Source organism: Homo sapiens, chromosome X (assembly GCF_000001405.40).
Source record: "Homo sapiens chromosome X, GRCh38.p14 Primary Assembly".
Classification (NCBI taxonomy): Eukaryota; Metazoa; Chordata; class Mammalia; order Primates; family Hominidae; genus Homo; species Homo sapiens.
The window spans coordinates 36,141,851-36,154,220 of NC_000023.11; the positions used below are offsets into that span (position 1 = coordinate 36,141,851).

Consider the following 12,370-nt stretch of genomic DNA (forward strand, 5'->3'; position numbering starts at 1 on the left):
CACATAACACCTTCATACAGTTCTGTCTGGGGCTGGCTGAGTGGCGTCTTTTCTTGTGCTTCTCTTTTTCCAGAAGGTAAACCTTTCCCAGCGGCCCCATGGCATATTCCCCATTGCATATCATTGACCGGAATTGAATCCTATTCTTGTGGCTAACCAGTGGTTGATTAAAAATAAAAAAAAAGAATATTCACAAAAAGTTAGGTTCTTAGTAAAGAAGAAAGGGGAAAATGATTGTTGGGAAGGCATTCAATAGCTGTCTTTGTAGGATTATAGTATATCATTATGTACTGCTAATTATATTTGGCGTCTTATTTGAAAGTTAGTGATACCTTAAAAGATATGGCACATTAAATCCAGCATAAAACTCAAGATCTTATCACCCCTTCTATTTACTGATGATGAAACTGAGGCCCAGGAAATTCAATTGTCTTAAGAGCATGGCACTGTGTCATAGCAGGACTTGAATTAATTTACCAGATTTATTGATTTTTTTGTTATGATTTTTATGATTTTTTTGTTTGTTTACATTCCTGCATTTTGTTAATCTAGTAGGAAAACATAGTCATCAAGGAGAAAAAAAGGACCAATACAATTGAAGTTATTTTTGGTTAGATCTATGTAGCGAAAATAATGATTATGTCCTTAAAAGTACTTTCATATGAAATTTTAGTTTTAAATAAACCTAACTTACTTTATTTAACATTTGGCTTTCTAGCCTAAGGTTGACAAAAGTCTGATTGCTTTAGGTCACTTTTGTTTAAATGTATAAGGAAAGGTAAGAATGCTCTTTTATTTGGTTTTTCAGTATAATGTCTTATTAAATATAGTTTCCCATTAAAAACGTATTTTTTAATTTGCCAAATTGCTGGATTTTTCAAAGTTTAGCTTTTGAAATAATTTTTATATTGCTATTTATATCATTTTATGGGTTACTTACTAAAACATGGTTCAAAAGACTTTGATTCATCCCAGACTTGAGCCCAGAGTGTTCTGCTATTAGTACTCCTCTTTTCCCCAGTAAACACACCTCCCGTCACCCTAGATAGCCCTCTTCGGATCATACCCTATAGGTTGATTCCAAACACAGGGCCCAGCAGAGCCACACATTCTTCACTTAAAAATTTACCTTCTTAGGCTTCAAAAGTGGATGTGACAATTAAACTCTGCATTTTTTTATTTTGTTCTTATCTTAAATCATTTTTCTACATCTATTTACTAACGTCGTCTTTAAAGAATGTGAGACCACAAAATACTGATGAGAAACTTTATGGTCCTGGTATATTTCCAAGGCTTCCTCAAATTATACTCACAGTTAGCTTTCTACCCTGCTAAGGCAGGCCAGTTTTCTTTCTGTCAGTCTTTTGCCCAGGCACCTTCGTTGGTAAGCCTTACTTCTAATTAACAAAACAAGAAAGAACAAACTCTTCTATTTTCCCGAGAAGAATAAGAGAGCATGAGGAAATGTGGACTAGCAGATCACCAGTGGGGTTGTCATCATTCTCTAAAAACTGCTGCCAAATTTCAGAATCAAGTGCCTTAGTTCCACCTAGCACATTGGGTCTCCTTGGCTTTCACACTATTTGCATTTCTAGGCCGGGCTCAGATCGTGTTCAGTTGCTAACTTGAATATGTGCCATTAAGTCATAGCAGACCTTCATTTCCATTTTGTGGAAGTACAGAGAGCTCCCTGTATATTGACACTGACAGAGTTGTTTGTCTATTAATGGTGTTTTTTATGTCTTCAAATCCCTCACACCAACCCCAATACTTTTGTGCTGTGAATAACTTTTCCCCACTGCTTCTATCTTCTTCTGTTCCTGACATTACTTTTTGGCTTCAGCTTACGTTCTGGCTATGTTTATTGTCCTGATACCATTGCGCTGTAATTTTGGATTTTATCTCAAATATACTCCAGTAATCATTACTAATGTATTTTGTTTATCAGAGTAATTACAACCTCTGCCTTATTGTTTATCTGTTCTGGGAAAAGTACTTCTTCAACTGCCCCCTACCTGATCTGCCTGAATTGTTGCTCTTATTATGTTATTTCTTGTTCAGAAATCAAGTCCCTCACCCTGCCGTCTAAGACCTCCACAATGTAGCCTGGCACTCCTTAGTCTTTTTTCTCACTAATTGTCCCATCTTTTCTTATGCGTGACCCAAATGGTAGTTCTTTACTGAACAAACACTATGCTTCTCTATCTCCTCATCCTATAGTAATTTGCTTTTCTGAAAAAATACACTCTTTTCCTCACATCAAATACATATTTGAAGTTCAAGCATTCTATAAGGCCTATTTAATGTGCCATTGGTTCTATGGGCCTTTGCTTGAAAATCTCTTGCCATCTTTAACTTCAGGAGTAATAGTCACATTAGTCATAATTTCTAGAGTGTAGTGTTCTTCTGAGTTCCGACTAGCTTTTACGGAGTCTGAGGTTACTAGATCAGTGTTCTACTTAGGACACATTTATTTTTTAACACTTAGGTCAAGCTCTTCTGATTCAGAGCGGTATTATTGCTGTATCTATGTTTCAGTGTCATTGTCAATCACAAATATTTTAAATGTTTTAAAGTAATTCAATAATTGATTTACTATGCTTTTCCTCTTTTTATATTTTTATCTATTATCTTATTTGATGGTTAATATTAGGTGTCAACTTGACTGGATTGAAGGATGCCAAGATGACTGGCAACGTTTTGTTTCTAGGTGTGTCTGAGGGTGTTTCCAAAGGAGATGGATGCAGGAGTCAGTGGCCTGAGAAAGGAAGATATGCCCTCAGTGTGGGTTGTTACCATCCGATTGGCTGTGGCAGTGGCCAGAACAAAGAGACAGAAGAAGGGGGATATTCAGTTTGCTTGTTTTTTTGTTTGTTTGTTCTTTTTTATTTTTGTCGTGATCTCTTTCTCCCTTTGGAGCAGGATGCATTTTTTTCTCCTTCTGCCCTTGGACATCTGATTCCAGGTTTTTCAGCCTTTGGACTCTAGGACTTGCACCAGCAGCCTCCTTTGGGCTTTCAGCCTTCGGCCTCAGAATGGGGCCTGCACTGTAGCTTCCCTGGTTTGGGGGATTTGGGACTTGGCCTGAGCCATGCTTCTGGCTTCCCTGGGAGCCCCTATTGGCTTCTGTCATTCTGCAGTTTGTAGCCAGCCTACTGTGGGACTTCGCCTTTGTGATTGTTCAGCCAATTCTTCCTAATAAATTCCCGTTTATATATATATATGCGTGTGTGTGTGTGTGTGTGTGTGTGTGTGTGTGTATGTGTGTGTATGTGCATATATACAGATATATATCCTATTGGTTCTCTACCTATGTAGAACTCTAACTAATGCATCCTCTAATTTCGATTTATCTTCTTTGAAACTAGGCCACAGACATCTGTGACCCAAATCCAATCCTGATGCTCATGCTTTGTGTCTACATGTATGAAAGACTCCCTACATATCTCCCTAAGAAGGTGGTGTCCTTTGAATGTACTCTACATGACACGGTGCTGAATAAGGTAAGGATAATTTTGGGGTCAAAATGTGTAAGGAGTTACACAATTAAGAGAGGTTTTAGATATTTCTTTCCCAACCCAAAATTAACAGCAAGCGTCTGTAGGAATAATTTTATTAAAAGTGAATAAGCCTTATCAAATGTTGCTTCTTCTAAGCCAAAGGTCTAGATGAGCGAAAGGTGCAATTTTTGCTTAAGAGTAATCACCACTTGCAATGAAATGATGACTCTTTTCTTACTCATTTTCATTTGATTTAAAATAATATTATTCTGTATACAAGTTAATTTACTGCTTTGATAAGATTCATGTTTATTCCTTTTTTCAGGCTCTTTTATGTTTGTCTCTCTTAATATATGATTGGGAAGGAGGATAATTTTATATTTTTGATGCAAAACTCATCCATATGTGGTCTTCAAAAGATATGCCACGGTGATCTTTGATCTGTAATTGTAACTTCTTTGAGAAAATAACTGTAGCCTCCATGATGGTGTGAGCATCAGTTGATAAGGATTTAGTTAAAAATTGAAGAAAAAAAAAAACAAAACCCAGGTTCTTATCTCAAAATGTAGAGGACTGAATTTAGTGAAAAGAAAGCCTCCTCTTCTTTGTGTTTGGTTTGTGTTAGTAAATACTGAGGTTCAATCTCTTTTATTTACTTTATTTCTTTCCTTTTTTGTCAAAAAAAAAGACATAAAACTCCATAGAATTCAGTATTTACTATGATAATTTGCTAATTGCAATGATATCCAAGGGCTTTGGATAAATAACAAGCCTTGAGCTATAATTATATTGAATTTTTGACTTCAAAATAACATTTCAGAAGAGTTAAAAGTTTTTTGCTTAGGCCTGCAGGAGACAGGAGTGTAAATTTGATTTAAGTATAATTTATTACTGTTAACTATTATTACCAATTCTCTATTTCTGTCTACATGATTGTATTCCTTCATATCACTTAATTGTTATTGATGTTTTTAAGTAGTTAATATTAATGCTAGCTAACGTTTAAAAATAAATTTAAATTATGATGTTAAAAACCAAATTAAATCATGTTTAAATAGAACACGATTTATTTTCTCATTTTATTATTTTGCTAGAAATAATGCTCATACCTAAGATTATAGATAAAATTATACAAATATACCTTTCATTTTTCACAATGTAAGAAAAATTTTTGAAAGAAGAAATAAATAAAATGTATATGCAAGATAAAACAAATTACAACAAGCTTTGATTTTAACTTTTATTTAAGAAAATTAGTGATTTGGAAATTGCTGAGAATCTTTTATGTATTTTGCTCCTGTGAATCAACACGATGAATGGCAGTGCGTTAAGTCATAGAAAGTCGTTCTTACCACCAACCCTATCAATGTTACAGAATATAGCAAAATCTCCAGAAATGGCTACAAAATTGAGAAAGTATTTCTTTTCTTTTTTTTTTTTTTTTTTTGAGACGGAGTTTCACTCTTGTTGCCCAGGCTGGAGTGCAGTGGCACGATCTCGGCTCACTGCAACCTCTGCCTTCGCAGGTTCAAGCGATTCTCCTGCCTCAGCCTCCTGAATAGCTGGGAGTACAGGTGCCTGCCACCATGCCCAGCTAATTTTTTGTATTTTTAGTAGAGACGGAGTTTCATCATGTTGGCCAGGCTGGTCTTGAACTCCTGACCTCAGGTGATCCACCCGCCTCGGCCTTCCAAAGTGTAAAAAAGTATTTCTATAGCTATGGGCAAATAATAGAAACATAGACTGCTAGAACAAGTACAAAAAAGTAGTGGTCAGTGAAAAAACATAGAGTGCAGTGATTTTCCGAGACATTCAAAAAGCAGTTGAATTTTGTTTTCCTTTTGAAACAAAATTTACACAGAAGCAGAATAAAGAATGTCATTGCAAAAAAGGAATTGAGACTTTAAAACTTTCTTTTGTTCCCTTAAACAGCTAGCTCTTCTTCCTATCTACTCCTCATCACCCCTACACGAAATCCTGGAGTTGGGTGGTATGACTGTCTGACCACAGATGAGTCCAATACCATTTTGTCATATGTGTGATATGTATGATATAGTGACAATGAATGGCTTCCTTATGATCTAAACAGTTCACAACAAATCTACTATAATTTGCAACATTTCCTTCCAAAACAATAGGAATTAGCTCTCTGGGACTTAAAATCGCTTGGTCTGTTAATGAATATTTGAAATGCATACATTTGTATGAATGTATGTACCTACAAAAAGATTACCACACCACAGTGGGGTACCACACTATAGTGGGGGTCTTGCCCCCATTATTGATGTCTTTAAGTATTTGAGAACATGAGGCCTCCAAATCCTTAAAGAAACTAAAGTTGGAAATGCTTTATCAACAACACACTTGTTCTATTGGTTACCAAAGTTTCCATTGAACTAAGAAAATAATTAATCTTTCACCAGATTTTCATCATATTCCTTATGACTCACTATAACCATACCTACTGCTACTTTTTCACTCTTCGAATATCTGTGACTATAGGTCCTGAACTTCATAATTTGCAGTGACCTTTTATTCACTCTAATTTGACCAATTATCCTTTTCCCCCATCCTCACCATTCTCTGGGTCAGAACTTTTGGTGATACCTTGGCATCTTGTTAAATAAAAAAAAATATTCATGACACCTGTTAAAACGGTAAGGCAGACTTTATTCAGGACTATTATGATAGTTATAGGGACCACTGCAAAGCAGTTTTGCAGTGGGGGAGAGAGATTGAGCTCAACTCGAAATAAAACAAGGAAAAGCAGGAATTTACAGCCAAGGAGCAGGATGGAGATCAGTGGGTGGGAAATGACTAAGAGGAAACATATGGGTAAGGGGGGATTCTGGCTAAACCAATATAAGATTTTTGCTAAAGGAAGGCCAGGGTGATCATACATTACCTGAGCAATGGCAGGAGATGAGGAATTTGGTTAGATATCAAGGGTGATTAGATACTGAAGGTGTGGAATTCTGGTTAAACTGATTTAGCAGGATTCTTGCTAAAATTGGGCTCTTGAGGACATGCCCAAAGGTGGGGCCTAGTTAAAAAAAGAGTTCAGACAAGCCTTACTGGAGTGTGGTTGAGAAGAAAATCTTTGTCAGTCTTCCTAAAGATTGTTTTTTGAATCTCCATTATATTTTACATAAACACTTTGTGTACTCACGTTTTTCAAGAAGTACTCTTTTGTAATAAAGCAACTCATTTTCTAATGCTCCCCATGTCTCTGGATCAGGAGGAAGGAGACAGCCAACCCTTCGTTGAACTACCACATCTAGACTGGGCCACCATTATATTCAGCCTGAAACTGTTTTTAAATCTATACTCCTTATAATACCTTCTACACTGAGCAGCCAGAGTATCCTTTTTGTAAATTGGATATATAAGTTCCCTTTTTAAAATTCCCCAGTGGTTTTCCTTTGCAATAAAAATAAAATCCAAGCTGCAAATGCTGATCTTCAAATCACTGGTGATAAGATGCTTTTGCATTTGTAATTCCCTTTGTTGAAAGTTCCTTCTCTTTGCCCACTTCAGCTAAACTGTATGTATGTGTGTGTGTGTGTGTGTGTGTGTGTGTGTGTGTGTAGTTGTTATTTTAAAATACAAATTCTGGCTTTGTCCAGTTGGTGTTCATTATAAATAAGTATATTTATGACTAAAATCTATTGCTATCTTTGATAAAAATAAGAAATGATATAGTTGCATAGTTTTTAATTTTATAATCTTACTTATATCCTCTTCTACTTCTACATAGATTCTACTGAAAAATTCCAGCTCGCGAAACTTAGTGTATAATGCTAGAATTGTTGGAAGAGATGCTGCTGACTTCTCCCTTTCCCAAAAAGGGAATGTTGTGACAATTTCTCCAAGGTAAGTATTTTTTTTAATTTTACATTATCAGACATATCAACCCCAAATATTTAATGTTATAATTATAAAATGTGACTTTGATTTTAATATTGATAGATATTTAATGAAACGATTGTCACTCACAGTCAGACAAATATTCGTATGTTTCTACAATTCCTCACCAAAGTTGTTGAAACAATTCTAACAACATAAAACAGCTGTTTTATATGTGCATTTAATTTTAATTTGTTTTTTATGCATACGGGTCATAGAAACAAGACTATAAGTTGGTTTGTTGTGTACTGCCATTCTGTTTCCTGCAGGAAACTGAAACCAGTGCATTCTAAAAGTATGTATGTATATAATTTAAAGATATATATATTTTATTTATTTATTTATTTATTTATTTATTTTATTTTTTTTTGAGACTGGGTTTCCCTCTGTCGCCCAGGCTGGAGTGCAGTGGCACGATCTTGGCTAACTGCAACCTCTGCCTCCTGGGTTCAAGCAATTCTCCTGCCTCAGCCTCCCAAGTAGCTGGGATTACGGGCGCCTGCCACCACGCCTGGCTAATTTTTGTATTTTTAGTAGAGGCAGGGTTTCACCACGTTGGCCAGGCTGGTCTCGAACTCCTGACCTCATGTGATTCACTCACCTCAGCCTCCCAAAGTGCTGGGATTACAGGCATGAGCCACTGTGCCCGGCCTATATATATTTTATATATAGTTTTTGCTGATTATAAAGGCAGCATGTACTAATTATAGGAAATTTAGAGACTATGAAAGTATGAAGAACCAGAAAATAAAAGGTTCATAATCCTACCTCAAAGAACTCCCCATGTTGCCATTTTTCTCTGTGCCCTCATAGTCATTGTGTATGTGTGTGTAAATGATGGATAGACAGATAGATGATATATATACATGTAAATATACTCCCAAATTTTGATAATGTTATATGTGTCATTTTTATCTAATTGTGTTCTCATAGTTATTTAATGTTTCTACTACTATCCCACTCACAAAAATAAAGTATAATTGAAACCTCCAGAGAATAGTTTTGGGAAATTAAATCTGAGCATAATGTGAGTCTTCCCAGATCAACAAATCATGTTGGATATGCCAACACATGCTAATGACATAAATACTCTTGTTTATTAAATAATACAAAGATGATATGAGAACAGCTGTGTCAGTACCATAGCAGTTGACAAATTTGATAACTACTAATGAACTTTAACTAGTCTTGAATTTTAGTCATTGCCTTTGCATTCAATTATTTTTCTCCAATGAAATGTGATAGATAACTACTAAAGTTACTTTGCTTGATTATCTCTTTGGATTTTAACTATACATTAAATTGAGTAACTTTTCAAGCTGTAGTCTTTATTTCTGTACTAGTATATCAAACACAGAAATAATAATAAAAAAGGGCCATTTTAAATTGTACCTAAAATATCCTGTAACCCATTTTCAACAGTGCCCTTGTTTCGTGTCATTAGCCTATGTTAGCTTTCTTCAGTTATTACTCCATGCTAAAGGGGCATATAAAAGATCTTAATTCAACCTAAAGTAAACCTGAGGAAAAAATCTATACTTGCCTGCTTCTTTATTATAAATAAAATATTAGAATAAAATTCCTTGTATAATAAAAAGAACCTACCCATTTTCCAAGATCATAATAAAATAGTTAAATTTCTAATATGTCTATTAAAAAACATAATGATAATAACACAAGTTCATTTGGACATTGTCACATAACCATTTATTTTGTTGTCAAAGATTTTAAAACTTGAGATCTATACTCCACTCTTCCAATAGGGTGATACAAGTGAAAAGGATGAAGTTTCTCCTGCATTTTTTCCACTCATAAACCTGATAGCCTATTCCAGTATTTCAAAGCTTTATGTGGAAATTCTTCCTAATAACCACAATAAACCTCTGATAATTTAGTTTAAGATTACTTTTCCTGTTAAGGAAGTTCATATTTGTTATTTTTATTATAAATGTGCACGGTAGAAAATTTGAGTTATAGAAAAATAAACAGGATAACAAAAATCACCTAGAATTACATCAAACACAGTTTGTTAGTTCGTTTCTTTCCAGTCTTTTCATAGGCACACATAGGTTTATTATAACATATGCATACTTATGTATTTACATAATACAGGCATTATATGTAAATATTAACATACTTAATATTTATTCAACATTTGCTATATAAAAATATCTATATCATATGAACTTTGTTTCATATGTCAATATCTATATAGTATGCACTTCATATTTAATCTTCCTAATACCCTATTAGTGTTCTCATATTATAGAAGAAGATATTGGACACGGAGACATTAAATTACCCAATGTTCCCTGCTATTAAATGCCAAAGTAGAGATTCAAGACCAGTGAATACAAATTCAGAGCTGGCACTTTTATTAAACTGACACTTGCACATATCTTGTGCATGTGTATGTGTGTGTGTGTCTGTCTGTGTGTCTGTGTCACATTCAACAAAGCCCTTTGCATTCAATATAATGTTACTTTGACTATTTCTAAGCAATCCTGAAGATCCATGATATAATTGTGTCTTAGTCTGTTTGGGCTGCTATAACAAAACACCAAAAACTAGGCAGCTTACAAACAACAGAAATGTATTTTTCACAGTTCTGGAGGCTGAGAAGCTCAAGATCAAAGCACCCACAGATTGATTTAGTGTCTTGTGAAGGCTTGCTTTCTAGTTCATAGATGGTACTTTCTTTCTGTGTCTTCACGTGGTGGTAGGATCAAGGCAACTCTATGGGGCTTCTTTTCTAAGTGTAATAATCCTATTAATGAGAGCTCTGCTCTCATGATCTAATCACTCCCCAAAGTCCCCAACTCCTAATACCATCACAATGGTGATTAGGTTTTCTTCTCTCTTTTTTTTTAGCTTTATTGAGGTAAATTGGTAAATAAAAATTATATATATTCAAGGTATAGAGTATGATGTTTTGGTATACATATACATTGTCAAATGATTACAGCAATCAAGGTATTGACATATTCATTACCTCAAAAGGTTGCCTTTTGTATATGTCTTATGAGAATACTTAAAATATACTTTCTTTACACCTGTCAAGTGTAAATGACATTATAGTCACTTTGATATAAACTAGGTATCCAGAACTTACTCAAGTTATATCTTCATGTTCGTACCCTTTGATTAGTATCTCCTCATTTTCTCCACCACCTGACCCAACAGTGGCTCCTTCCTTGATGGGGTACAGGACCCAGCAGCATTTCCCTTTCCAAGGGATTCACAACAGGAATGCCTATTGGTTATGACAGGAGTGAAAGCTGCTGGCATACTCTGTAGAGCAGTTTACTGGGGACCTAAGTAGCACCCACTGTGTGGCTGATAATGATAAGCCCTGCCCTTCCTTGTTCCTAGCCACCTCTAGACAGCTCAAGTATGCCTGTCTCTCTAATGATCTTTCTGTGTGGTTTTCGTCAGGTTATTGCTCCATTGTGTTACTTCAGGGTCTTAATTGGAACCTTGAGCCCTCTCTAAGCTATTTTCTTTCATAGATAGCTGTTTAATTATTGTTTTTATGTGGAGAGAATGAAGATTAGTATCTCCTACTCTGCTGTTCTGATGATGTCACTCCTCTTGTAATTAGGTTTAAACATGTGAACTTGGTGGGGGGGACACAAACATTTAGACCTTAGCTTTCTACCCTGTAGCCCCAGAATTTATGTCTTCTTGCCTGAAGAATATATTCATTCCATCCCAATAGCCCCCCAAAATCTTAGCTCACTTCAACGTCAACTCAAAAGTCTGAAGTCTTAATTCTCACCTATCATATAAGTCTTGTATTTAGGGTTTGCCTAGAAAAATAAAAGTATAAGTCTGATATGGGTGAGATTCAAGGTATGATTCTTCCTAAGGCAAATTACTTTCCAGCTGTGATTCTGTGAAATCAAATAAGTTATATTCTTCCAAAATACAATGATGGAATAGGCGTAGGGTAGACACTTCTACCCTATTCCAAATGGGGGAAATAGGAAAGAAGAAAGTGATAACAGGTCCTAAGTGTGTCCAAAACTAAACAGGACAAATAACATTAAATCTTAAGGCACCAGAATAATCTTCTTTGACTTGAAACTCTGTTCTCCAGGCCCACTGGTGGTCCTGCCCCCGATGGCTTTGAGGCAGCCCAGTGCCTGCCACAGCTCTGTGTCTGAGAACATGTCAGTTCTCTGCAGTAGCCTCACCGCTGTGGTCATTCTATGCCTGGGTCTTGTGGTTGTGGTTACCCTGAGCTGGAATCTTGCTCCAATGTCTCTACTGGTGTGAGGTCTTCAGGGAGGCCTGCCTCCAGAGCTCTACTGGGCATTGCTTTAGTGGGAACTCTGCAGTGGCCCTTCCCCATGGCAATTCTCTAACTGAACCCCAAGACTCTCCAGGGTACCCTTTGAAATATAGGTGAAGGCATGCACTTTCTGTGCTTTCTGCACCAGTGGAAATGGTACTACATGGATGCCTCCCAAATTTATTGTCTGTGCCCATCAGAGGGGCAGCTACCACATTCCAAGCCACACCTGGGTCTGCTGAAGCAGCACCTGGGGCAGCCAAGGAGCATGATACTGGAATGTGGACAGTAGAGCCTTGAGGCATTGGTGGGCAGCAAACACCAGGGTCTCACAGCTGTTCATACTCCCTTCTCCTTAAAATTATTCTGTCTCTCAGGCCCTGGCATTCTGGGCCTATGATGGGAGAGGCAGCAAGGATGATCTCTGAAATGTTTTGGGGTAATTCTCCATAGTTTTAATGAATATCATCTGGTTTTCATGGAGATTCCTGATCCATATTAATCTCCTTATCAAACAGTTCCTTGCCCACACCCTTGTTCTCCCCTAAACATGTTTGTTCTCTCATTCTTTTCAATATGGATAAGCTAAGAATTTTCCAAACTTTTAAGTTCTGCTTCCCTTTTGGTTAAAAATTCTGTTTTTAAATCATTTCTTTCTTCTTCCATTTTA

General features: G+C 36.1%; 1 protein-coding gene across 3 annotated transcripts in view; it reads left to right on the forward strand.

Moving 5' to 3' along the window:
- The window catches only part of CFAP47 (cilia and flagella associated protein 47), a 465,584-nt gene that overhangs the window by 222,117 nt on the left and 231,097 nt on the right, over nucleotides 1-12,370 (forward strand). For 2 of the 3 annotated variants that reach the window (NM_001304548.2, XM_017029452.2), the window contains exons 36-37: nucleotides 3,369-3,503; nucleotides 7,258-7,373. In NM_001304548.2, the coding sequence (NP_001291477.1) occupies nucleotides 3,369-3,503; nucleotides 7,258-7,373 (251 nt within the window). Of the gene's footprint in view, nucleotides 1-2,710; nucleotides 3,230-3,368; nucleotides 3,504-7,257; nucleotides 7,374-12,370 lie in introns of those variants that run through there. The other variant, XM_017029453.2, reaches the window with a different exon arrangement.